The sequence below is a fragment of the Homo sapiens genome, chromosome 6, assembly GCF_000001405.40.
Source record: "Homo sapiens chromosome 6, GRCh38.p14 Primary Assembly".
NCBI lineage: Eukaryota > Metazoa > Chordata > Mammalia > Primates > Hominidae > Homo > Homo sapiens.
Genome location: NC_000006.12, coordinates 110387815 through 110415594, shown reverse-complemented (window position 1 = coordinate 110415594; position 27780 = coordinate 110387815). Strand labels below are relative to the sequence as shown.

At 44.0% G+C, this 27780-nt stretch overlaps 1 protein-coding gene across 9 annotated transcripts, besides 2 other annotated features; it reads left to right on the top strand.

The window, feature by feature from the left end:
* The first annotated feature begins 19 nt into the window (after positions 1–19).
* Positions 20–27274, top strand: DDO (D-aspartate oxidase). 9 transcript variants are annotated; one of them, NM_001368172.1, is made up of 6 exons: positions 20–128; positions 2129–2304; positions 7153–7261; positions 10645–10821; positions 22253–22388; positions 26763–27274. In NM_001368172.1, the coding sequence occupies exons 2-6, from the start codon at positions 2133–2135 to the stop codon at positions 26799–26801; spliced, it is 633 nt and encodes a 210-aa protein (NP_001355101.1). In that variant the 5' UTR covers positions 20–128; positions 2129–2132; the 3' UTR covers positions 26802–27274. The 9 variants fall into 9 exon arrangements, 8 of the variants coding, with proteins under 8 accessions (NP_001355101.1, NP_001355099.1, NP_001355102.1 ...); NM_001368170.1 differs by lacking the exon at positions 26763–27274 and adding an exon at positions 5018–5085 and having other exon boundaries at positions 22253–23811; NM_001368173.1 differs by lacking the exon at positions 10645–10821.
* Positions 6020–6519: an enhancer, noted in NCBI's record as "H3K4me1 hESC enhancer chr6:110730279-110730778 (GRCh37/hg19 assembly coordinates)". NCBI's record gives its function as "activates a minimal SCP1, AML or CMV promoter by ChIP-STARR-seq in naive H9 embryonic stem cells {active_cell/tissue: H9 hESC(naive)}" and the evidence as "EXISTENCE:reporter gene assay evidence [ECO:0000049][PMID:30033119]".
* Positions 6520–7021: an enhancer, noted in NCBI's record as "H3K4me1 hESC enhancer chr6:110729777-110730278 (GRCh37/hg19 assembly coordinates)". NCBI's record gives its function as "activates a minimal SCP1, AML or CMV promoter by ChIP-STARR-seq in naive H9 embryonic stem cells {active_cell/tissue: H9 hESC(naive)}" and the evidence as "EXISTENCE:reporter gene assay evidence [ECO:0000049][PMID:30033119]".
* Positions 27275–27780: the final 506 nt, after the last annotated feature.

The window sequence follows — 27780 nt, the reverse complement described above, 5'->3', positions numbered from 1 at the left end:
CAAGTCACCAATGGGAATCAGTTTCGCTTTCTCTCTGTCTCTCAGGGCATGAGACCAGCCAGGCACTGGGAAACAAGGTTTGGTGCCAGAGATTTTGGTGGCTTCCAAGACTGCTTTTTCAGAGACAGGTACTTGAATTCTTGCTTTCAGCTGAGGGGTCGTTCCGTCCATGCTCTGGGAGTTTGGGAGTGTGTCTGAATAGGGTCAGGGGACAGTGATGGACAGGCCACTGTGCCAGGACACACCACATTGCTCGCTCACTCCTCCTCCCTGGCAGCTGGTTATTCTTAGCCACAGATTGCTTGCCCTTTCAACTTAGTTTATTAGAGCTGTTTTGAGAGAGTTGCTGGACATGGGAGGCTGATGTGAAACAGCGAAGTCAATAAGGTCACTGGTGGCTGCAGGACAGCTCTACTCAAGCTGGCCCCCACCAGACTGCTCTGGCCTGGGCCCGTTCCCTTCTCTTCCCTCAGCCCTGGCAGGCCCACTCTCTCTCAGCTGACCAGCCCACTGTACAGCAATCAAATTAACGTATCAAATTAGCACAGAAATGCATAGACTGCTCGAGGAATAGGAATATCACACTAAACTTCATTGGAGGGCTTTAAAGTCTCATAGTGCGAGAATCTTCAGAACTGGAAGAGAAAGCAGAGGCCACTAACAACCAAGCCCACGTTTTTCCTGCCAACAGCCCTTGCTGAGGAAGCTGCCCAGCCTTCCAGAGGAAAGGTGAACCTCTGTGTGTGGGTGGCCATGGTTTGTACCATGTGGCCCAGTACCCTGATTACTGTGCTTTGGACAGAGAAGGGCAACTATGCCAAGGGCACATTCAGAGGCTGGTTTAGCCCAGCAAGTTGGCCTGGTGCTAGAATTTTGTCCAACAGGGGATGCAATGACCAACTGGTACAACTGCATTTTCTCTCTCTGGAGTTTAAACCTGAGCCATACAGAAAGAGTCAGAGCAGGAACAGATGGGGAAAGCCAAAAACAGGGAAGCAAAGGCAGGCGGGGATGCTGACAGTGGAGCAAGGCTCCGTGGGTGAGGGGTGGGACAGAGGGTGCCAGCCTCAGGACACCTGGCCCGGGCTCCGGGATGTCTGTCCCCTGCATTTCCATTCAGACTCTCCCAAGGAGCCCCCTTTATGAGACCGCCTCACTGGGTCTCTCTTATTTACCACCCAAAGGAGCAAGTAATCCATCTGTTCTGTGTTACAGATGAGGGAGTGGAGGCTAGGAGACCACGGACTGCTCCTCAGGTTACAGAACCTGTCCAGGACAGACAGGGGGCCGGTGACAGTGGCAGATGGCAGAGGAGACTGAGTTCAGCTGCTGAAACTTTCTGTAATGTCCTTATTATTAGAAACAACTTTGTAGACAGAGTTGAGTTTTGAGTTGCTCATGGGTCATGCCCCTCACCACTGCTCCTCAGGTAGTTCTGGGAGCAAAGACTACAGCTCTGTGGTTTTCTGTCAACCTTCCCTAGGTTGTGCCCATAGGGAAAATGGTTTAGGAAAGGGGGATGAAGCCGGGCATGGTGGCTCACGCCTGTAATCCCAGCACTTTGGGAGGCTGGGGCCGGCGGATCACAAGGTCAGGAGTTCGAGACCAGCCTAGCCAACATGCTGAAACCCTATCTCTACTAAAAATACAAAAATTAACCTGGCGTGGTGGTGGGCACCTGTAATCCCAGTTACTCAGGAGGCTAAGGCAGGAGAATTGCTTGAACCTGGGAGGCGGAGGTTGCAGTGAGCCGAGATCTCGTCGCTGTACTCCAGGCTGGGCAACAGAGCAAGACCCCCTTTCAGGGGGAAAAAAAAGGGAAGGGTGAAGAATGAGTAGAAAACTCCTCCAAATGCAGACCTACTTACTGGCTAGGTGTTCTAAAGGCAAATCCAAGCCAGTTTTGTGTTACTCTCTAAAAGCCCATGGAGATCTTGTTGCTTATACACCAATATTTAATGGAAAGTGAGCTTATGGGGTTATCCTCTTTATCTCACAAGAAACACCAATAGGCTAAGTCTTATTCTGAGTGGCTGAAGACCTAAGGAAAAAACTGTCAAGACCAAACTTTGTCTGGATGGGAAAATCCTTAAAACAAGGGGTATAGCTCCCATTTCCCTCCTCACAGGCTCATGGACACAGCACGGATTGCAGTTGTCGGGGCAGGTGTGGTGGGGCTCTCCACGGCTGTGTGCATCTCCAAACTGGTGCCCCGATGCTCCGTTACCATCATTTCAGACAAGTTTACTCCAGATACCACCAGTGATGTGGCAGCCGGAATGCTTATTCCTCACACTTATCCAGGTGAGAGATTTCAGCTCCTCTATCAGATACAATAGATGTCAGATAGAATGATGTTAGTGGAATTCTATTGACAAAAGACAGCTGGCTATAGGTGTAAGTGTAATATGCAGGTTTTTTTCTTTTTCCTTTCCTCTTTTTCTCTTTTTTTGAGACAGGGTCTCACTCTGTCACCCAGGCTAAAGTGGAGTGGTGCAATCTTGGCTCACTGCAGCCTCAACCTCCCAGGCTCAAGTGATCCTCCCATCTCAGCCTTTCGTGTACCTGGGACTACAGGTGCACACCATCATGCCTGGCTAGTTTTTGTATTTTTGTAGAGACAAGGTCTTGTCTTGTTGCCCAGGCTGGTCTTCAACTCCTGACCTCAAGCGATTCATCCCCCTTGGCCTCCCAAAGTGCTAGGATTACAGCCGCCATGCTTGGCCATAATGTGCGGTTTTAACATCCTGTTGGTTCATCTCTTAGGACAGCCTCAGTTATGCTGCAGGACAGAAACAACATCCAAATCTTAGCAGCTTAAAAGGCAAAAGTTTGTTCTTGCTCACACTACATGTGGATTGAGCATCAGCAAGGGGCCAGCTTGTCATCAGGGACCTAAGCCGATGGAGCAGCTGTCATCCTGATTGTCATCAGCGCATGTGCCCAGGGGCGGAGGGGAGGGGACCTCTGAGGTTCTCGCCTCTGTGATTAAACACTCTGGACAGGAAGCGACTTTCAACGCTTCTGATGATGGCTCATTGGCAGAGCAGGCCACATGTCTCCACCCTCAGCAGGAGGCCAGAAAGTGTGATTCTATAGTTCCCGGAAGATGGATAGCAGAAGCATGGGATGAACAGTACTGACAACTACATGATTGGCGGCTCTGTCTTTCCACTGATAACAGTAATGACTATCAAGTCAGAAATTACTTGTAAGGGAACTAAAATTATCCTAACTTCTAAGCCTGTATAAGAACAATTATCAATATGTTTGTAATCAGTCAATCATAATTAGTTAATATGTATTAAGACCTGAAGATGCATGGATTTTTTTTTTTTTTTAAGACAGAGTCTTGCCCTGTCACCCAGGCTGGAGTGCAGTGGCACGATCCTGGCTCACTGACTCACTGTAACCTTCACCTCTGGGGTTCAAGAGATTCTCATGCCTCAGCCTCCTGAGTAGCTGGGACTACAGGCATGAGCCACCACGCCCGGCTAATTTTTGTATTTTTAGTAGAGACAAGGTTTTGCCATGTTGACCAGGCTGGTCTCAAACTCCTGGCCTCCCAATCCTCCCACTGGTGGGGCATGGTGGCTCACACCTGTAATCTGCTGGCATGCCCCACCAATGCATTGATTTTTGAACATGTCCATGCGTCCTTTCCTTTCTGTATTTTCCACTTGAAATGGGGGAGGAAGAAAATAGCATTAAATAGAAACCAAAATCACGCTGCAGTAATGAAGTTTATACTCACTGTCCCCATTTCCTCATTTCCACTCTATTTTTCCTCTTTAATTTTATTTTTTATTTTTTATCAAAGTTATATATGCCCATAGTTTAAACCGTCCTCCCTTCTGAAGTCCTTTTCCCTCTTTCTGGAAAAGTTAATATGCTGGACCTCCCAGACTGGTCCTCCAATTCTTTTAGCTTTGTCCCCCTCCTATTTATCTCTCTCTATTTTACTTTCTGGGAGACTTACTCAGTTTTATCTTTTACCTTGCTATTGAATTTTTTATTTCTACTATAACATTTCTAATATTCCAAAGCTCTTTTTTGTTCTCCGAATTTTCATTTGTTATAACATCTTATTTGTGTTAGAAGATTGCAATGTCCTCTCTTATCTTTATGAAGATACTAATAACAGTTTTTAAAAACTTTCTCCCTGAATAGTATCTGAGTATCTGTCATCTCCAAATTGTGGGAGGTTTTTGTTTTTGTTTTTTGATTTTCTCATTTTTCATGATAGAGGTTTTTCTTGGCCGTGTGGTATTCTTTACCTGTCTGCTGATGTTTATGAGTGGACCCTGAACAGCAGATGGGAATTTCTGAGTGTTTGCACAGGGCTTGTTGCCAGTGAGCTCACTGGAGTAAGAGGGCAGGGCCATTTATTTGGGGACATCTGTGATGTCATTCAGTTTAAGTTTTTCTTCTTGGGCGGGTCCTGTTTCCCAGGGAAGAGGGTTCCATGTCCTGCCTGGGGAAGATGAAGGCCCGGATGCCAGCTGGCATTTGAGAAGGTGACAGGGGAAGAGGCTGGGGTCCTAGCATCCAGTTTGCATGTGTTTCCTTAACACTCCTTTTTTCAGCACGGCATCCCTGCCTTTGCTGGTGCTTTGTGTTTTCCAGTCCAAAGACCCCTAAGAAAGAATAGACATATCTTTTATTAGGGTGGTAATAGCAGCGACCTTGGCATTGCAGGTCCAGGAGCTTGGCTGGTCAGCTCCTGGGAACTGCCTCCCAGGAAACAAACACAGGCACCTGGTGTATCCACCAGATGCCAGCTGATATAGTTTGGCTGTATCCCCACCCAAATCACATCTTGCATTGTAGTTCCCATAATCCCTACGTGTCGTGGGAGGAACCTGGTGGGAGGTAGTTGAATCATGGAGACAGTTACCCCATGCTGCTGTTCTCATGATAGTGAGTGATTTCTCAGGAGATCTGATGGTTTTATAAGGGGCTTTCCCCACTTTGCTGAGCTCAGCTCTCATTCTTCTCTTCCTGCCACCATGTGAAGAAGGACTTGTTTGCTTCCCTTTCCACCACGATCGTAAGTTTCCTGAGGTCTCCCAGTCATGCTGAACCGTGAGTCAATTAAACTTCTTTCCTTTATAAATTACCCTGTCTCGGGTATGTCTTTATTAGCAGTGTGAGAACAGACTAATACACCAGCTTACACTAAGTGCTTTTCTTGTGACGAGAGTTCTTGGGACCATTTTCCAGGCTCTCCCTTGCCTGTACCAGGCCTGAGTGAGTGTTCAGAAGGCTGCCAGCTAGTCATGGAATCATCCCTCAAAGACAGTCACTCATCTGAGGGCTCATAGGGCCATCGAGGCCAGAACTGTCTCTTTGGCCAGGTGGCTGGTTCTCCTGGACCAGGGTTTTTCTCTCTGTGATGCTGCTAGATAAAGACTTTGGTCTTCTCTTTGGGTTTCTTTCCTAGACACTATTCAGATGAGCCCCAGTCATAACTATCTCCTGTGCTCATAAATGTCAATACCATATGGAGACCATGCCTGTCCCATAGGGTTGTTGTGGGGATTAAATGAGTTGATACATGTAAAGCATTTAGAACAGTACCTGGCACATAGTAAGTGCTATATCAGCATTTGCTATTGTTCTCACCATTCCAGCTATAGTTCTGTTTTACCAGGACTTGAACATGAATTAGGTCATCAGGCTTCCTAGACCCACTGCTGGATGGGAATTGTCTGTTCTTTGGGATGACTTCTGCAGCATGTGAATCTCAGCCACTATTTTGTTTTTAAGGTTTGGGGTGAGAACAGGGAGTTGCATTTTAATACAACCTCACACAGTGGCATAGATTGTTGGGTAAAGTCTATTTGAGGCCAAATTTAGTTCTCTCTGCAGCTTATTATTTATTTATTCCTTATTTCTAAAGCAGCATCCCCACTGTGAAATTTTGGAATATAGTGTTAATTTCACATGGGCACATGTTTAAAGATGGCAGTACAGATTCGCTACTAAAGAAATATTTATTGGCTCTATAACAAGCGAATTGTCTGAAAATCCCGCTACTGACATGACTTCAGTGACCTGGGGGCTTCACCTGGGAAGCAGGATGTCTCCAAAGATCTTTCTATCTGTTCCTTGAATTTCAGGGACACCTCTCCAAGTGGAACCAACTTAGCATCCTCTCTGCCTCAGTTCCCTCATCTCCTCTGTGGCTTCCCTCATAGCAGCCCCTGAGGCTTATTGTTCCCTGGTCCCTGGCCTAACCCTAGCCAGTCTCTCATGATCCTTCTACAGGAATCAGACGGCCACATACTTCAACCACAGCTGGATTTGTCTGTGATTTTGGGTCATTCCTGCCGTCTCTGTGCCTACACTGGACACTTATTTTGAGGCTTAAACGCTGCCTCTTGTTTCCTCCCCAACAGGCCTGGCACTCTTCCAAAAGTTGTGTCTGGGTCCAACCCCATGTGCTCTGGCAGAGGTGCCTGGGGGATGGTATGGTCCCTGCACGCCCCTGCTGGCTTCAGGAGTGCTACTCTGGCTGGCACCTGATTCCATGGTGTGGAAGGTAATGGCAGCCCCTGCTGGGAAGTCTGGCCTGCAGGGGGCTCGCCTCCAGCATGCAAGCCTTGTTTCCTTGTACCAGGAGGCAAGCCCCTGGAACTCCCCATCGAGGTGCAGTCTGTTCTCTGTCCCGGTTGGCCTGGGCCCCACAGACCTGCCCATGTCATCCACTATGTTTTCAGCCCCCAAGAAAGAGGCCCTCTGTCCTTGGTCCTATTGTCTCAACTGTGTGGCCAGCTGGATCCCACAGCCATGAACTAAGCTCTGCTCAGGTTGGTTATAGACCTGCCAAGGACCTCTGGAATATACCTAGTACCAAAAACCACCTTCCAACTAGCTCGCATGCCGGGTTTTGCCCTTATTGGCCTGTTTTCCCTCCATTGATTAATCATATGAGCAGATTTGGACAGCATGTGTCAACATGCAAATCTCTTGTTGCTGACAGATCCTCTGCCACAATGTGGCACTTTATATTAATGTTCCTCCCTGCCTCCTTATTTTATTTTTGCCTCCTTATTTTTTTTCCAAGTTTCTAGGAAGGAGCTTATTTGAAGCACTGTCATTATCATCATTTTCCTTTCTGTTCCACTTTGCTTTTCTCCATGATTACAGATACACCCATTCACACGCAGAAGCAGTGGTTCAGAGAAACCTTTAATCACCTCTTTGCAATTGCCAATTCTGCAGAAGCTGGAGATGCTGGTGTTCATTTGGTATCAGGGTAAGTGAAGAAATTTGAAGTTATTTTAGAGTGTAGCATGATCTTAACAGGCATTAGAGTTCAACATAAAATATTTACTGAGTAGCTGTTGTGAGCAGAGTGCTGACTTAGATGCAGGAGGATTCGGAAAGAGCATTATAGGCTTTACCCCAAAGAACTGAAGAAAGACAAGTTATGGTATTAGACTTTTTAACAATAAACAACAATCAGAGTTTCTCATCACAAATACGATTGATTTTGGGTTTCCTCAGAGACCATGCAGTGATTTGCAAATTTGGTTAAAAAAACACGCAGGAGGTAAATGCTGGATTTGGGTGATGTGGGGATGGTACAGCCGATGGAAAGCAAACAGGTATGATGTTGGGATGGCTGCAGAGACCTAAGGGAGAGGGACTTCTTATTTATTCGGTGTCCTTGGAGAATGAGATATTCCAAAGAAGGAAATTTTGTAGGTCACTAAACTTGCCTTTTGAAGTGCCATGTGGAAAAAAATATTTCTGAAACTGTTAGCACACTTCTATTTCATTTTTAATGTATAATTTCAGTAGGCATGCATAATTAAATGAAAATTTGAGAATAAATGCTATTTGACATTTCTATTAGTAAGACGAGCACTTAAAACATGACATCTTTTAATATCTTCTTAAACTGAGATCACTTAATATTCTATCACTTTCAATTTACTTCTCAGTGTCATCATATGATGTAACATACATGTCATTGGTGCATGTTACACTTGTAACATACATGTGTTATCCTGTGTGATAACACAGTCTTTCTGCGGCCTTCTGAAAAAATGTGTCTTATCTCCTCTTTTGATGTCAGGCTGCCCACTGGGGTTTTTTGCTAGTCTAGTGTACACACTTGCATTGGGTGAATTTCTACCCTTTTTCTCTTCTTGTTTTTCCTCACCATCACAAACACCAAGATGATGCTGATGTCAGTAATTTCCCAAAGCCCCTCCCCAAAGTAGCAGTTTTGCTTTCCTATCAATCTATGGATTGATTCTTCTGTATAACTAAATCTGGAGCCAGTTGATGAGCCAAGTAGAAAAAACATTTTCTTTGATTTACGGTCACACTCTTTGTCCAAATCCAACATGAGTCCGTCTAATTCACAAATTTTGGCTCTAAGTAATTTTTGGAAACAGCCATGTCCAGAATTAAAATCCCCTGTGCATCTTTGGCGTAAGTATATAGCCTTACTCATCTATTTATTCCTTCAAAACAACATATTCAGCATTCTTCAGTATCAGGTTCTTTCTTAGGTATTAGGGATATAGCAGTGAGCAATTTAGTAATACCACTTGGCATATGCTTAACAAATATGTGTTGAGTTAATTTTTAAGGAAGACACAGTCCTGCCCTTATGTAGCTTATGGTCTCTAGGGAATGCAGTAAATCAAATGAGTTACCAAATTCACTGGGACATGAGTTACCAAAAGGAAGAGGCTAGGGTGCTATGGAAGCATATGTCTGGAGAAGAAACTTGCTCTGGGAAGTGATGAGAAGCCATCCAGATCAAGGTGTTTCATCCGAGACCATCAGGAAGAGTGTAAGTTAGTCTGGTGATGTTGTAGAGGTGAAGTGGGGGCGGGGCAGGGTGGGAGACGAAGGAGACAGCATTCCAGGTGGAGGAAACAGCATACACCTAGACCTGAGTCTAGGGCGACTGTGGTGTGTGGGAGGGACTGAAGGAAGTCCAGAGAAATGGGAAGCCATTGAGGGAGTTTACACAGTGAAGTGACTGGTCATAATTGCATTTCAAAAATATGTTTTCTATAGTGTGGAGAATAGATTTGTGGGAAGAGTTGATGATGAGATAGATTGGGTGTGGACTGTAGAAACAGAGAGTAGATGGACTTGAGAAATGCCTAAGGGGAGATTTGATAGGACTTGTCAGTTGATGGTGTATGAGAGGTGAGTAGGGAGAGAGAATCAAGGATGATTCTTGGGTTTCTGGCATTAGCACCTGCATGGATGGGTACCATTTTCTGAGTTAGGTAGGATTGGGAAAAGAGTGGATGTGTGTGTGTGCATGCATGCGTGCATGTGTGTGTAAATGCATGAGACTTCTAAGTGGACTTATCTAGTGGGGAGTAGGTAACATGGGTCCGGATCTGTTTTTGGAGCTCAAGAGAGAGAATGGACTGGAGATATAACCTTCTAAGTGCTCAGGACTGGAAATGTAGCCTTCTAAGTGTCTGGCCTGTAGGTCATGGTGAAGATATGGAAGAGGGCAAGCTAGCCCAGCGCAAGAGTGGGCCAGCACAGAACCCTGCAGTAAAGGACATTTGTGTCTTCATGGGGACTGCTCTGAATCAATTACCTAGAGATACATATTCCGATGGGGGAATTATTAGCAACTATGCTTAGCACTCAGATTATTTTCCTTGCTATTTTTGAGCAATGATGATTTATAACTTTTTTTTTTTTGAGGCAGGGTCTTACTCGTCTAGGCTGGAGCGCAATGGTCCAATTCAGTTCACTGCAGCCTCGACCTCCCTGGGCTCAGTTGATCCTCCCACTTCAGTCTCCCCAATAGCTGGGACTACAGGCTTGTGCCTCCACACCCAGCTAATATTTGTATTTTTTGTAGAGATAGGGTTTCACCTTGTTGCCCAGGCTGGTCTCGAACTTCCCCTCGGCCTCCTAAAGTGCTGGGATCATAGATAGGTGTGAGCCACCATGCCTGGCATTATAACATTTATTCATTTACTGATGAAAACAACCCAATATTTACAAATCTAAACATTTGCATAGCAGCTATTAGTAGTACTATTACAGCCTTCTTGTTAACAACCAAATCTAGGCAGGAGCTTTTTAGAAAAGGAGTATTAAATTCCATCTTTAAAAAGCATGTTACTTTTAAGATGTTTTATTTGCCCAGTCACCAACATCTGCTATTTAGCTACTGAGTTATCTGAACCTAAGAGAATAGTAAAATAGATCATTTTCTCTTTGTGTTTATAGAAACTAAATTTTTAAAATGTTCTAGGCCAGCTGTAGTGGCTCATGCCTGTAATCCCAGCACTTTGGGAGGCCAAGGTGGGTGGATCACTTGAGTCCAGGAGTTTGAGACCAGCCTGGGCAACATAGTAAGACGCTGGCTCTACAAATAATTTTAAAAATTAGTCAGGTGTGGTAGCAAGCGCCTGTGGTCCCAGCTACCCGGGAGGCTGAGGTGGGAGGATTGCCTGAGCCCCAGAAGTTGAGGCTGCAGTGGGCCATGATTGTGCCACTGCACTCCCACCTGGGTGATGGAGTGAGACTCTGTCTCAAAAATAAAATAAAATAAATGCTCTAGAGAATGTCATGTGAAGTTTACTAGAAATATGTTATTTCACAAATTTCAGGAAAAAATGTTCACTTAATACGTTTGAGTTGGCAGATATTTCAGAGCACTCCGACTGAAGAAGTGCCATTCTGGGCTGACGTGGTTCTGGGATTTCGAAAGATGACTGAGGCTGAGCTGAAGAAATTCCCCCAGTATGTGTTTGGTCAGGCTTTTACAACCCTGAAATGTGAATGCCCTGCCTACCTCCCGTGGTTGGAGAAAAGGTCAGTTGAAATGCTCCCTGATATTTCCTTATCTGTCATAGCCATAAATCACTTCGTAGCTATTCATAAAATACATACTGAAAAGTCTCTGGCATCCCTCAGAGCTCTTTCGCGTTGCCTTGCCACTCACAAATGGCTAGGGCTTTGTAAAACAATCTGAAGACAGTGTTTATGTCACAAGGACTAAGTCACACCATGCTTCTAGTAATTTGTCTTCTATTTTTGGTGTGCACTTCGATGCCTGACTTATTCCCTACCCTTCTTGCCCCAGGTAAAACCCTCTTATTGAAACAGTATCTTAGTTTTCCTCATCTGTAAAATGGAACAGTTTGGAGAATATATTTCCAGCTACAGAATGATATGATTTACTCTAATTCTTTGGACGAGAGAATCTTTGCTTATTATAAATTATTTTTGAATTTTTTCTCATTTTTGGTAAAGCAAAAAAATTTCATTATTTCCTTTTGTCTTAAATAAGAACTCTGAAACTAAGGACCTATCCAAATTATGTCACTCCTTCCTCATTAAGTTCAGCCCGTGATACCTTGAACTTGCATTTCGGCTTACTTTTCAGGACTTTCAGGAAACTAGTACTTAGCTTCCAGTTAGGAAACACATCAAGAGTATCTTCATTTGAGATACATCAGTAAATCTGTCTTTAGTTTAGTCTGGACTTGCAGGCATGTTGAGAGTTGTGAAATATTGATCCTTTCAATTCCCATATGTGTATATTTTGGTAAATAGGAACGATGTGAATTATTGTGTAAATGTTGGGAAAGTGACTTGAAGTAGGCCAGGGCAACAGTGATCTGGTACCAGATGTAGGTTATAGGATAATTGATTCATATAATTCATTAATTACACAACTTTTGTTGAACGCTTATATATATCTGGCATTATGCTAGAAGCTGGTAAAAAAGAAGGATAAAATATGATTTCTTTTTAAAATAATTTCATGGTCTATTGTGGATGACTGTGTGTGTATGTGTTTGCATATTAATTAACAATGATGGTAACACACATGGTAAAATAAAGTACAGACTTATGCAGGTTAGAATGGGAGCAGAAAGGAGGAAGCCTAGATCTGCTAGGCACATGTCAGTGGCATCGTAATCTAGTTTTGTAGCTTTTCAAGTGCTCTTCTCACTTTTACCTCTTAGCAATTTATATGGGACATTTTGCTTCTGTAAGTTCTAGTTTCATAAAACCCATGCCTTTTCTGGCCTTGTTCACCAGCCCATAAACCACTGTTCATATGCCAAGTTTGGACTTGTCTACATCAGCTGATAAACGTATATTTTGAGCTATCACATGATGGAGTTGCCCACCAGCCAACAAGCAAATTTTAGCAGCATCACCATCTTTCCTGAGTGGCAATAGTGTGTAGTGTTGAATTTTCCCCCTTCTAAAAATGACTAGAAATACAAAATTAGAAGCATTGATGCTAGTGATAAGGAATTGAGGCATCATATAACTTATCTTAATAAAATCCAGAATAAAATAAAATAAAATAAACAAAAAAAGTTAAAACATGTGGAAAAAGGCAATAAAATAAAATAAAATTTAGGTAAGTGGAAATTATTAGGCATGGCAAAAAATGGCAGAGTTTCCTTTCAATACAATGCATAACATTTTTAGATTATGACTCAAAAAGAGCTCAAAATGGAAGAACATGTACAAAATATTGTGATAAAAGGTGAGGTGTCATTAAGGAGTTTAACTTTTTTTGGTATTATTAGTGGTTTGGGCTGAAGTTTCATTATTGCCACCAAGTCCATTGTGTGGCTTTCTCATCTTGGATTTTTGTCTTAATGATCAGTAAGCTTTCTAGAAAACCTGGCTGGAGCCCTGTGGTCTCCAGCAGATCACGGAGAGGCAGATGAGTGAGAACCTAAGAGTGTTGTTCTCCCTCAGAGACATGGTCAAGGGCTGATTAAGGGCTTTCCTGCGTGGGGATGGCCAGGGGTATGTGTTAGGGATGGTAATGGACACAGAGCTAAGGGAGGTAGAGAAACTCTAACAAACTCTTCATACAGATTCCTAACATTTTGCTTCATTATTTTCGCTTTCTTTTTACTCCTTATACATATTTTCTTTCAGAACCATTTGAAAGTAAGTTGCAGTTTTCCTCTTGTGGCTCAGGCTGAAGTGCAGTGGCGTGATCTCAGCTCACTGCAACCTCCCGGGTTCAAGTGATTCTTCTGTTTCAGCCTCTCAAGTAGCTGGGATTACAGGTGCCTGCCACCACGCCCAGCTAATTTTTGTATTTTTAGTAGAGACAGGGTTTCACCATGATGGCCAGGCTGGTCTCGAACTCCTGACCTCAGGTGATCCACCCGTCTCGGCCTCCCAAAGTGCTGGGATTACAGACATGAGCCACCGTGCCTGGCCCCATGTTTAAATATTTAAATACTTGCTCTCAGAACAAGGGTATCCTCTTACATAAACACAGTAGTATAATAAAATCAATATCATTATATTGATACAACACTATAATCTATGGACCTTATTCATATTCTGCCAATTGTCCATATAATGTCCACATGTAAATATAAATACACACAACACATAATTTTTTCCAGTCCGTGATCCAATTACAGTCACACATTGTCTTCAGTTGTCATGTCTCTTTAGTCTCCAGTCTGTCTTTGTCTTTTATTACATTTACAAGCTTGAATAGTACAGACCAGTTGTTTCATATAATAGAATGTCCCTCAGTTGGGGTTTGTGTGATGTTTCCTCGGGATCGGATTGAGGTCCTGCATGTTGGGGTGAGAATGCATAGAAGTAATGTTGAATCCTTATTGCATCATAGCAGGAGGAAGATGATATCAGTTTATCCCCTTATTGGGGCTGTTAACTTTCATCACCTAGAATGCCAGTTATCTCTACTGTGAGGTTACTACTTTTTCTCTTTGTAATTACTAAATATTTTGTTGTGATATACCTGAAACTATGTAAATATCCTATTCCCATGAAACGAGTTCCTATGAAAGTAGTACTTTCACCTACGAGTTTTAGCATCCATTGATGATTTTTGCCTGAACTATTTATTACTGTGATATTTTCCAAGTGATCATTTTATAACTCCATCTATATAGTTTGCTTTCTACTGTAAAGAAGTTTTCCTTTTCCTATATGTATTTATATCAGGATGAACTCATTGGTACCTATTTTATTCAATGGATTATAATTTATCCCCCCCATCATTTTGATGTTCAAATTGTCCAAGATTAGCTGAGTAGGAGCCCCTTCAAACTGCTCTTGTGTCTTTTTGATATGTTCACTTGATTTGCTTTTTTTTTTTTTAAAGCACTTTTTTACTTTGGGGCACAACAAAATTCCACACACCCCAAATTTGGAGAAGAAAAACATTTTCTTTTCATGAATATTTTCCACCACCTTTCCCTTAACACAAACCTGCTGCAATGCCACAATTTAAATTTATGAATTTAGTGCAGAAAGAAATTGTCTTTTCTCTTTTCCTCTGTCCCCTGAAATTTTCACTCTGTTGCAATGTAAATCCTGATTTGAGGTGTAGCTAAAGAACACACCTCTACCACAACCACCTGGAAGTCCAAGTTGACATTTAGAATTTCTAGATTCCTAAGAGTCCTGCATCTTCACATGGCAGCAAAGGGGCCCAGGAGCATGCCGGGAAGCACCCTCGCTCTATCCATATCTTCCCTGAAGACAGTTGTCCTTGGCCACTCCTTGGGCTCCGGGGTGCACACAGTGGCACAGTCTGCCCCCGGGAGGAAGACAGTGCAGGTCCTGGAAGAGGACAGGGAATATGGGGATCCTGGGTCCCCAGAAGACGGGCTGGAAGTGAAGGGAGAGGGCTCTGGCTGGGCACATGCCCGAGCCCCACACACTCACTGCCTCAAGAAGAAAGCATGGCTGGAGAAGGGCCAGACAGGGGTCCTCTGGGTGCCCAGCTGAAAGAAGGTGCGGCTCAGATGAGCCAGAGTAAGTTTTGAGTCCTAGTGATAGCCTTGAGCTTATGGGTAATCAGGGAAGGCGGTGTGAAGCGTTTCTTCACAAACTTTCTCGGGCCCAAGCTTTCATTGAAGCATTGGCTCTAAAGTCTAGAAGTGAAATGCAAATGCTTAACTCCTCCTGGGAGAGAGGGCTCATTGCTTTCATTTTGCTTTAAGGGCCAAATTGTTGATAAGGCCCTGGGGAGATGAGGAGAGTTCTGATGGGGCAGGGAGGGGGCATGAAGGCCCAGGGCACCTGAAGAGGTGTCACTGTAGAAGGGGGCAGAGGCAGGGACGCCAGCCTCCCCCCAGCACACAGTCACCTCCTCTGAGGAGTCCTCATAAGTCTCCCAGTTGGCCTGGTGCCGCCCTGCCTCGTGGGCAGCGTCCTCCTCTGCGGGGGCTGGAGGTCCCCACGCGGGCCCGTGATGAGGCGCCAGTCCCCGCCCCGGCCCGCTCCTGCGCACCCTCCCAGCTCCCACTACTCCGAGAGAGAGTGTTTTAGCTCCGGGCAGCCCCCGTCATTTCCACACCGAATCAAATGTTATCTGAACAATGTCTTCTTCCTGCTTCCAAAGCATCGCCTTCTAGAAGACAGGCCCCGTAGTTCCATCATCTCTGTGTTTTCAGACCTGACCCCTGACTGCGGCAGGAAGGCCTGGGTCAACCCTGCCACCCCGTCCTGGGCTGCGGGCCTGCGGTCAGCATTTCCCGCCACTTAAAATGACCCCCAGCCAGGGGGCTTGGGGCTGCGAGGACGGCAACGCCATCGGCCGGAGACCGGCGGAGGGGGCGGTGCCTGGGAATACGCCGCCTCCCGGCTGTGGGTCGGTTATGGGCAGCGGGGAGGAGAGGACCGAGGGCTGCCCTTTTACCCGAGTCCTGGGGAGACCTTCTTCAGTCCGTTTGTTTGATACGCGTGCCCGCCAGGAAGGCGGCTGAGATGTGAGTGCCTCAGACAGAAGGCACAGGGTGTGCTGCGGCGGGAAGACTTCAGAGCCTCTGCTCCTCACTCCCTTGTGCTCCTGAGACCTGGCTCCCTCCTGACCCCGGTGTGGGGCCTCCACAGACAGCGCCCGGTGGCCCCTGGCCATGCAGATTAGCTCCCTGCAGCCCGGAGCCTGCGTCCGACCAGGCTGGTGGAGGAACAAGGCCACGTGTCCCCTTTCCTCCCTCAGGAGGCTTTGCAGCACGGGACTCCTCTCAGCCCAAGTCCGGCCTTTCAGGGCGAGCATTTCAGGCGGGGTGGGCGGGAGGGCCGCGTCCCGGTGAGGGGGCGACACCTGGGGCTCCCTCTGGGCTGCCACCCACTGACCTCCCGCCAGGCGACCCACATGGGACGCCACACAATCTCTGTTTGCTCCTCACACTCAGGGTCTATTTTGTTGCCACCTACGCCTCTTCCACACAATGTGAGTGTTCAGCCTTCAGTGTTCTCACTCAAAAATAAGCATTTGCTCAGCAAGCCACACAGCAATGGCTTCAGCTTAAGCACGATTCTTCTGAAATAATACAAACTTCCACAAAAAAATTTTGTGCTACAAATTAGATCTTTATTATTTTTCAAAAGATAGAAGAGATCATCTTGTTCTCAAACAAAAAGTAAAACAATAATGCCCAATAATATACAGAAGAAACACAAACAAAAACCCCACAGAGTTTGAATCACCCACACAGGTCATATTTCATATCATATTCTGCCAGTGGAGTTAAATTCTGCTGCTTTATTACTGGCTCCTTCCAGGAAATGAGTCAGCGAGGCATTAAGTCTTCCTCCAGGCAGCCCATCTAAATCAATCCTCCCAGAGGGACCAGGATTGTCCTGCCTTTGACAACATTCAGGAAACTGGGTGGCCCATTTCTGTGCTGGGCCCTGTAACATGGACACGTTGATCTCTTTCCAAGAGGCCATGCCTTATCCTGTGTCCCCAAGGAGGCCCTATGCTGACCGCAGCACTGGCCACACTGAGCTACTTGCCCTGTACTTTCCTCGCCCCTCCTCTGATTAGGCCTCTCTGTAACTTTCTCTGGGGGAGTCCTCTAATGCCCATCTTTTTCTTCTCCTGTATCTTGTGTTCTCCTGCTCGGCCTGACTCACAGCAATGCCTGTGAAAGAAACTGGCTTCCTCAGCACCATCATTAGCCCCATTAGCCAGCCATGTCTGCCCTGGAGCTCACCAGGAGCTCGTCTTTTCCCCTGTCCCCGCTGCCAGCCACAGGCTGTCCGCATCACAGCCCCCACCTCCCTGTTTAGTGCTACCTGAGATTCCTTTCTCGCCATGGCTTCAGCTTCAGTGGAGTATGGGAATTGCCTCTGATTCCAAGAGCAGAGAGGGGATGAGGGGACTCTGCTCCTGGGAGGCCAAGTGTGTGTGTGTGTGTGTGTGTGTGTGTGTGTGTGTGTGTGTGTACGCATTTAAGATTTGCTTAGTGGACCCTTATTTTCCTCAGGGGCACAGCCAACTCAATTTACCTCCTTGCTGAAACTCCCAGTGAGGTGAAGGAAAGGCGCTGAGGATGACCATCCTCCTTGTTTGTGGGTCAGGTTGATGCAGTCCAGCAGAGGGCTAACTTAAGCTTGGGGAAATGGACACTCTCATGTTTTAGGGTGATGACCAGAGGATGCTGGGGCTATTTCGTGAGCCCTGCTTCTTGAGTGCCCCTAACCCTATTTCCTCATGGGAGGTTGGGACAATGGTATTCTCTCTCTCCAGGATGAGGTCTTGCTCAGTTGCAAGAAGCCCCAAGAGGAAAGTCATCATGCTTCTTGTACCTCCAACCATGTCACCCCAAACTTCCAGAATAACTACCTCATATGGTCATAAAAGCAGCCTGGTAGGCACTTGGTCACCTAATTTAACATCTGACTTTTGGGTACAGTTTCCTCCTATGCACTGGTGCCATCTTATGCATTACCCATGGGATACATAATAATGACTGGGCATCACTATGTGGTTGCATTACAACAACATAAAGGTGACCAGTCTCCAGGCACATTTAGTGAGTTTTCCTCTGGGATCCAAGGCCTGGGAGCAATCCAGCACAGGAAGCCTGACAAGGCCCAGCCACTAGGATAGCTTAAGAAGTCACCAGGCACAAGTTGGACTTTTATCAGTAGCTTGACCAGCAGGGAACCCTTGAAATGGAAAAGAAAAGACATTTGCACTTATTGAATTCTTGCATAATCATCATAAAAACCCTATAAGTTAGGCATTCTTATCCCTAGGAAACAATTTCAGTGAGTTTTAAAAATCTGCTGATATCCCAAGGCTGGCAGATTCTCTTATTCCCCCAAATTATGAAAATAATTCTGAGTTTTAATTAATTAGGATATCTAGAGCACAGAACATAATGTTCAAATATTAACACATGGAATCTACAATGTAAGAATTTAAAAAACCCACAAAATCAAAATAATATTCAAATAATGATCAGTTAAAACTTTTCAAAATTGAAATATCATCCTTAATGAAACATAAGTGATATACAGGTATGGAGGATAAGAATACACATAGATAATGCACTGGGTCTTGTATTTTACAGTAGCATGAAAAACCCCTAAGCACTTTTTTAAAAATAAAAGGTCTTTATTGAGCAGCTATAGTGTGTTAGACACAGTGTTATGCTTTTTCCAGATGTGTCTCATTTCATTTTCACAACGAGCCTAGAGAGTCAGTATTACTACCCCCATATTATGGATATAAGATTAAAGTTTAGAGAAGTGGAATAACTTGGCCGAGGTCATATGAATGGTAAAGGGTAGAGGCCTCCTAAGCTCTTTTTAAAGTTCTTTTCTTCGTGTTCACTTTTTGGAAGATTATAAACACACAGAAACATGCTGCTCAGTATTACTACAAAACTCCAATTTACTTTTCTTTCTATGCCAATGTTAAGGGGAAAAACAACCTTTACAGTTATTTTACCTTTAAAAACATTTATCTATTATTACATGTTTAAGAACATAATTTAAGCTTCTAAATTGGTTATTCTTACTGAGAGAGCCAAAAACAATCTGTCCCCATAAAATTTGCTATATTTAGTACTTTTTATCTATGAACAGTTTTACTTATAAAACAAACAAACAAACAAACAAACAAACAAAACAGTAGCTCCAGCTTCATTCTCTCTCTTTTAACTACTTTTAATTACATCAAAAAGTAATCCATTGGCTTTATTGGTTCTCTGTGGCCCCAAAGTGTAGATGCTTGCCAGATTCTTTTCTTTGGTTTCCTTGTCTCAGGTAAACAATATACTCCCTTCCTTGGATTTTTAGAATAAAAAGCAACCGAATTTAGGTTCTGTTGTTTGAAGCATTGATGCTGGCAATGCAGCTTGCATTTAATAGGAAGTGCAGTGCAGGTTCATGTGATCTCAGAGCAAGCATAGCCTCTGAGTTCTTCTTGCCTCCTAAGGGTGCTGGGCACAGTACAAGCCCTCAACAAATACTTGTTGAATAATCAGTGAGTCTAATCCAGAGGTTTCAAACTGTTCTTGAAACTGCTCGGTGGACATACTTCAGAGGTCTCTGCAGAGGGAGGGAGTGTGAAGAGACTGAGCAGATGGAGCTCTGCCCAGCAGCTTGACCTTCAGTCAGATGCAGAGAACTGCAAAGATGCTGAGATGACAGCCTGTGGCTTGTACTTGATGGAATAGGAAGCTGAGCTATTGGGGTCAGGGTCTAAGATGCCATTGAGTAGCAATCTTGGTCTCTTCCATGCTCATCAACGTGAGGCATTCTCTCTCTTTCTCTCTTTCTTTCTTTTTTGAGTTGGTGTCTTGCTCTGTCTCCTAGGCTTGAGTGCAGTGGCGGGATCTCGGCTTGAACCTCCACCTCCTCGGTTCAAGGGATCTTCCCATCTCAGCCTCCTGAGTAGCTGGAATTATAGGCATGCACCACCATGAACATGAGACATTTTCTAGAAATGCAATCCAGCATCAGAAGGCCAGTTTTCTGCTGATCTTAACACAAGTTGCAGTTAAACTTTCCAACCAGGAAGTGGGGCGGAAAGTTAGAATCACTTCAAAGAGTCCCTCCTTGCTAAGTTAAAATTAGTTGTCAAACCCATGCCATCATTGACCACCATTGCAGAAGTTTCTGTCTTTTTTATTATTTTCCTTCACATTAAACCTGTTTATCTGGCCTTGAAAGTAGATAGCGCTCAGAACTGCTGTGATGATCACTTCTGCTCTCTTAGGGGCATGCAGGATACAAGCATTCTGCCTCCATTTTCAAGGTCAGCCCTTCCCAGTTTCTCCCTGAAACGGCTTGGATTGCGGCAGTCAGAGAGAGAAGATGCCAAAGTTCTGCCACCCTGTATCTCTCTCCAGACAAAAAGAATGAATAGGATGTGTAAGATCGGCAGGGTGAGTTGGCAGGCAAGCAGGAGACCCAGGAGAGCCAATGGTGTAGCTCTAGTCCAAAGGCCAGCAGGCTTGAGACTCAAGAAGAGCCAATGTTTTTGTTCCAGTCCAAAAAGAGGAAAAAGCCAATGTCCCAGTTGGAAGGCAGTCCAGCGAAGGAATTCTTTCTTCCTTGGAAAAGAGTCAACTTTTTTGTTTTATTCAGGCTTTCAACTGATAGGATGAGGCCTACCCACATTAAAGAAGGCAATTAGCTTTACTCTGCCCACTGATTTAAATGTTTTTCTCATCCAAAAACACTTTCTGCAGAAATACACGGAGTATGTTTGGCCAAATATCTGAGCACCCCATAGCCCAATCAAGTTGACACATAAATTAACCATAGCAGGTCCAAACCAGGATTTCATATTGTCTTTAGTATTGGCTAACACTTACTTCCAGTCCACTTGGTGTGGGGCACTTAGCTAGGTCATAGGGATGGTAAGAAACATAAGATACAGTCTCTCCCCTTGAGGAATTCGTGATTTATTGATATCGGTCCTCTAAGATGTATTGTGATTGACGACTGTTCAAAGTTGTGGCCATTATTTTATTGTAACCTCACAACCATCCTGTGAGACAGGCAAGGGAGGTATCCTCCCCATGATGCAGATGAGGAAACTGAGATTTGAAGTGAGGTGAGTTGGCCAAGAGCTCAAAGCTAATGTGAGGCAGAGCTGGGATATAAAGCCAGGCTTTCTGATTTCACACCACTTCTCCTGTAGAACTTAGTCCATTCTGCCAAGCATTTACACTTCTGTCTGCCAGTTCCTCTGTCAGCCCTTGACGAAGGGCACTGTCACTCACACCCTTCTGGTCCCTCTTAGCAGTGCCCCGCATGCAAGCATTCGGCCTGCGTCTATTGAACAGAGCTGCTGATAGTCTCTTTCTCTATTCTACAAGTGACCTGTGAATAAGATTACATGTCCTGGGGGTTATTGTTTATTGGGTAGACTTTCCATTTTGCAAGATTAAAAAAGTTCTGGAGGCCAGGCACGGTGGCTCATGCCTATAATCCCAGCACTTTGGGAGGCAGAGGCAGGTGGATCGACTGAGCTCATGAGTTGCAGACCAGCCTGGGCAACATGGCAAAACCCTGTCTCTATCAAAAATACAAAAAAATTAGCCGGGCATGGTGGCACACACCTGTGGTCTCAGCTACTCAGGAGGCTGAGGTGGGAGGATCACTTAAGCCAAGGAAGTCAAGGCTGCAGTGAGCTGAGATCACGCCACTGCACTCCAGCCTGGGTGACAGAGTGAGACCCCATCTCAGAAAAAAAAAAAATATTCTGAAGATGGATAGTGCATATGGATGGTGATGGCGGTTGCACAACAAGGTAAATGTGCTTAATACTACTGAACTTTACACTTAAAAATCGTCAAAATGATAAATTTTATGTTAAGTGTATTTTACCTTGATTTAAATAAAGACTACAGGTACTGGATAAACCATTTCTTTTCACTATTGATATAGTTGGTCCAAAAAATATAGTAATTACCAACCACAGCTGCCATTTAGCTCATCAGCTACAAATATTTTGTGTTCTTCTCGTGCTAACATAGTTGTGGACATAAAGCTGGTGGGGATATGACCCCTGTACCTTTTAGTTAGGGAGACCAGGCTAATACAAAGGATCATGCAAGAGTTAACAATATGAGATAAAATGTTTAAGGTAGTAAATTTAGGTGTTAAATAAGTGGTATAAATAAGAAATGCTTGGACATTTAAAATACCAAATCAACTTGGCATTTATTCAGCATCTAGAATAATGTAGGAATTTTACAAAATTTTAAAAGGGCAAAGCATATAATTTCCTTTGTTTTGAATTTTCAAGTGGTTTCCATTTAGATTCAACTTTAGAAATCCCCAGTTCCTAGGATGTGAAGCAGTTGATGGCTAGAATTTGGCCTGACTGGGCCCTGGAAGCTCCTGAGGTGTTTGTTCATCAGATCATCACCTAATTTTTGTTCCTGGGTTCCTTTTCTTTATTTCCTGGAAGTAGTTGATCAGGTCGCTAACAAATATTCACTTCATGGCCTCTCTTCCGTAGGATAAAGGGAAGTGGAGGCTGGACACTCACTCGGCGAATAGAAGACCTGTGGGAACTTCATCCGTCCTTTGACATCGTGGTCAACTGTTCAGGCCTTGGAAGCAGACAGCTTGCAGGAGACTCAAAGATTTTCCCTGTAAGGGGCCAAGTCCTCCAAGTTCAGGCTCCCTGGGTGGAGCATTTTATCCGAGATGGCAGTGGGCTGACATATATTTATCCTGGTACATCCCATGTAACCCTAGGTGGAACTAGGCAAAAAGGGGACTGGAATCTGTCCCCGGATGCAGAAAATAGCAGAGAGATTCTTTCCCGATGCTGTGCTCTGGAGCCCTCCCTCCACGGAGCCTGCAACATCAGGGAGAAGGTGGGCTTGAGGCCCTACAGGCCAGGCGTGCGACTGCAGACAGAGCTCCTTGCGCGAGATGGACAGAGGCTGCCTGTAGTCCACCACTATGGCCATGGGAGTGGGGGCATCTCAGTGCACTGGGGCACTGCTCTGGAGGCCGCCAGGCTGGTGAGCGAGTGTGTCCATGCCCTCAGGACCCCCATTCCCAAGTCAAACCTGTAGATGACATAAAATGACAGCAAAGAGACTGAGAGACTGTTGATCAAAGCACAGAACAGGTTCAAATAACTTTTCCACTGCATGAAAGTTTAATTAGACATTTCTTTGTTTTCAACATTAGAAGTGGTGTAACATGTAAGCTGAGCACGGTGGCATGCCTATAGTCCCAGCTACTTGAGAGGCTGAGGCAGGAGGATTGTTGAGCCCAGGAGTTTGAGTGCAATCTGGGTAACATTTTTTAGAGGTGCCAGTTCCCACCTCTAAAAAAAACACCAACAACAAAAGAAATGATGCAACATGTAGGCTTACTTAGGAAGTCCAGCATTAATGGCATAGGGCATAAAGCTCTATTTTTTGTTAAAAATACTTCTTATAGAGTAAAATTTATTTAGAACTGATGTCCAAGGACCTATGCAGATTTATATGAATGTTGGAAGCTATAGAGATTTTGATATCATTTGGCTTATAAATCCACAGGAGGAGATAATGTATGGAAAACATTTAAATCACTGTCAATTGCAGAGCTGCCTGTGATCTTCTTAGGTTATAGCCAAGTCAGCAACATAATTCCTCTAAATAAAATTACATTGTGCTCACACAGTGCTGGATTATTACATTTAATTGAAGACAAAGCATGCTTGCTCCTAGTACTAGCAGCAAGCTTTTCCTCCCCTCAGCTGGTAATGATGGTAGGAGACAGAGATGAAGTTGCCTATGTATGTCATATCAATTCAATAGCTGCCTGGGGTCAAACACCTAGGGGTTGTACATTCCATTACTGTAAATGATTGAGAGCTGGTTTGTGGTATGGTTGGCTTTGCCTAAGCATTTTTGAAGATGAACAGCATGTGCAGCCAAAGAACTAATTTGCTAATTAAGGTGGAACAATCATTCTGAATGAAATATAATCAGAGTACTCCGCAGTTTGTTAAGAAGTATTGGGGAGGAGGGGAATGTGTCTCACAATAAAATGAGTTGGAATTGTTGAGTTAAATGAATTTAACCTGTTTTTTGACTCAGGCCTACTCAGAGCCTCTAATGTGTGCACGTGTATTGTGAATCCTCTAGAGAGCTTGGGTGGACGGAAAATGAAGTGCTGGTATTGAAGTAAAGAGGCTTGAGGAGGCTGGGCACGGTGGCTCACGCCTGCAATCCCAGTACTTTGGTGCAATCCCAGCACTTTGGGAGGCTGAGGTAGGTGGATCACTTGAGTTCAGGAGTTCAAGACAAGCCTGGCCAACATGGTGAAAGCTCGTCTCTATAAAAATACAAAAATTAGCTGGGCATGATGGTGGGTGCCTGTAATCTCAGCTACTCGGGAAGCTACTTGAACCCGGGAGACGGAGGTTGCAGTGAGCTGAGATCGCACCATTACACTCCAGCCTGGGTGACAGAGCAAGACTCCGTCTCAAAAAAAAAAAAAAAAGGCTTGAGGAGAAATGGATTTAATTTTAATATTTGGGGAAGACGACTTCTGTTAAATGATACAGTAAGTTATATTTTGGACATCCTGAGTGAGATACAGGGTTGCCAATGAAAGTGTGGGAAAGAGAAAGCTCTTAGCACAGCTACAGCTTTACTGTTGCGTTCATTCAGAACTTGCATATGATTTTGTTTGCAGAGAACATTCTGCTGGTAGACAGTGAGAGAAGCCCACCAGTGTTTTATGCAGTCATAATCATTCCTTGCAGTATTAACATTCTCAAGTAAAATCAAGTGTGGGCTCTTTTCTATAGATTTCCACCAGGGGGTGGTGTTGTATCAGATTCAGATACATTGGTACATTCAAAAATTTAGAAATGACTAGAAATGAAAGATGGATACCAGGTATATAGAGTGTGCGTGCTTCTTTTGAGGTTTTGGAGTTTATATACTCCAAGTGCAACTCTTCTGAATTCTGTTTTAAGTATTTGAGAAATGTATAAGTTTAGACAGACTGGAAACACATATGCATCATACATAATCTGTGAGAAATAAAAGGTTATGATAAAACAGCATTTTTTAAAGGAGGAAATAATTTTTTAATAGTTAAAAATAAAAATGAAGGCCACTGTTCAGAATAGGTAGAATTTCAGTCATTTCGAAGCAGCTTTAAGTGTACTCCTTTGTTCACTATGCCTGTGGTTCAGATCCTGTGGCATTTTTATTGTGTGTTGTGGGCTCACCTTCTATGACCTTTGCCTATTTGTTACTCTAGTTCAGCTTCACTCTGCGTTTTATATTTCTAAAGTGCAATGCTACAAGAGTGCAAGACTGGAGGCTTCTTGAGAAAGTGGTTGTGGCTGCATGCCCTGATTTCATTTTCACTAATTGCTAAATATTGTTCCCAGTGTCTCTGAAACATTATTCATTTTGGTCAGTAGCTGCCAACCTGGGCTGCAACTTAGAATCACCTGGGAAGTTTTTAAACAATGTTGATGCCCAGGCCTGCTTTATGAAATTAGAATCTTTGGTGGGTGGGGCGGAGCTGCTGCATCAGTGTTTACTTAAAGCTGTCCACAAAGTTCTGAGAGCCAGGGCTGAGAACCACTGAGCACTACTTCCCTCCCCTCCTTCTAGGCCCCCACTGCTAGCGTCACCATTATCCTTCCCTTCCTTCCTCGCCATCTTGGGGCATCGAGCTCAGAGGGATGTGCTCACTTAGGCAAGTGTGTCCTTAGGCACTTCTGGGCAAGGTGGCCTAGAGGAATTAGCTGTCCCAAAATAGCTCTCTAGAAATACTGGAATCACCTTGCTGGCTATCAGTCAGCTGCTCCAAGACAGCTATCTGTCTTTATCTGAAAGACAACAGACTGAATGTACAAATGGACAATGGCTAGACCACATATAAAAATAGAACTCTGGCCCACAAGCTGCAGCAACCTGCCCAGGAAACCAATTCCCTTATCTACAATAAACAACACAGGAAGCCAGCCTGCTACACAAGTATATCAGACTTGCAGGAAGCCATATTGCCATCTCTAGAAATAATCCAGAAAGATAAACAATAACTTCTGTAACAATTCACACAAAATGGCCAGGACTTGATTAATAATTGACAGCATCCCTAATTTTTGCCCCCACCTCTAACTTAGAACAAATCAGAGAAAAAAAATATGCTTGCCCCCACTTCTAACTTAGGACCAACCATATAGGATGCTTTGCTTCTAGTTAACTTGCCTACAGTGTCCCCATGCCTATCAGGACATATGTGAAGTCTTCTCTTTTTTCTGTTGTGAAGCTTTCTCACCCCTCTGCCTACCTTTGAATCTCTGCCAAATGTAAGTGTGATGGGCTGACTCCCTTGCTATAGTAAAATCTAAAGAAATAGCCTTTGCATTTCTCATTTGACTGGTATATTAGTCAGGGTTCTCCAGATAAACAGAACCAGTGGGACATATGTAGACATATAGAAAGAAATTTCTTATGAGTGTTGGCTCACACAATTATGGAGGCTGAGAAATCCCATGATCTGCTGTCTGTAAGCTGGAGGCCCAGGAGAGCTGATGCAGTTCTAGTCCAAGCCTGAATGCCCGAAACCCAGAGGAGCCAGTGGAGTAAGTCTGAAGGCCACAGTGCTGAAATCCAGGGACAGGAGAAGACAGATGTCCTAGCTCAAGCAGAGAGCAAATTTGTCCTTCCTCACCTTTTTCTTCTATTCAGGCCTTCAACAGATTGGATGATGTCCACTCACATTGGTGAAGATAATCTTCTTTACTTAGCTTACTGATTCAAATGCTTATCTCTCCCAAAGATATCCTCATATATACACCCAGAAATAATGTGTTGCCAGCTAGCTAGGCACCCTTAGCTCAGTCCATTTGACACATAAAATTAACCATCACAGCTTATCTTCATTTACTTCAAAGATTTCAATGTTTATATAAGTTGAGGTCTTCCTGGGTAATCGGTGCTACTGCCTGAGAATAGACTGCTTTATTTTTTCTTTCTTGTTTTCTATTTCAGAACATCTTTTATTTTTTTCTGAACATGAAGAACAACTGATTTCCTTCTTAAATCTCTGCTTTCAAGTGTCTGGCCTTTGTGGCTGAGTGTCTGCCTGCTGTGTCTGTGACCCAGAGGAACGAGGCTGCTTTGAGCCCTGTCATTGCCAGCGTGTGCTTCTTCAGCAGGCAAAGGTTATGCACAAAGTTTTAGGATTTTTTTTTTAACTTTTGGGATTTTATTTGCTTAGGAAGAAAAAAAAAAGTTTAACAGAAAGGCCATAGCCCAGGTGGACACAGTTGTATAGAAGAAAGGCTATTTTTAAAAATGACATATATTCTTCCTTTTATTGAATAATGCATTCAAATCAACTGATATTTGAACCGGTTTTTCTCAATCAATTAAAAGCTTTTAGAAAAAAGGAAGAAAAGGATGGTGGAACATGTGTCCACTGGGAGTTGTAGTTCTTAGAAACCTGTTTCAGGACTTTCGTAACTTGTCAAATATTTGAAATAAATGTAGCATTTTTTTTATTTCTCTCGTTTTTCTTCTTAAGGGTGTGAATGATGGAGACACATTTGAAACCTGCTTCCTCAGGATATCATTCACTCAAGAAAAGCCAATTGAGATCTTTAAGTGGTCCCTTTCTTCTTGAAAAATCTCAGCAGTTTGCCACAAGGCCTGGGGGTTTTATTATTCTAAGTAACTTTGCTGCCAATAAATCACAGCCCTAAGTAGCCAAAGGGAATGCATTAGCCAGATCTCTTATAAATATAACCAATGCTTCTTCAATTATTAGCAGAACAATTGACTTCCATCTACTCAAGGCACCTGTCAACCTGGCCTGCAGCCATGATTCCCACAATTCCACCTCCCAGAGCCTGTTCCCCTTGAATTATAATTTTTTTTATACTGGTGCACATTCTATGGTATGAGCCCAGGACCCAATTTTTCATGTATCCCGGTATTTCTCTTCCTTGCAGATCCAAGTCGTCTGTCAATGGAACTCAACCAGTGTGGTTGAAACTCCACATGGTCT

Coding starts and splice junctions, on each gene's coding strand:
- DDO (NM_001372108.2), top strand. CDS start 2,133: ATGGACACAGCACGGATTGCAGTTGTCGGGGCAGGTGTGGTGGGGCTC. Junction 2,305..7,152: donor TATTCCTCACACTTATCCAG/GTGAGAGATTTC, acceptor CCATGATTACAG/ATACACCCATTCACACGCAG. Junction 7,262..10,644: donor GGTGTTCATTTGGTATCAGG/GTAAGTGAAGAA, acceptor AATACGTTTGAG/TTGGCAGATATTTCAGAGCA.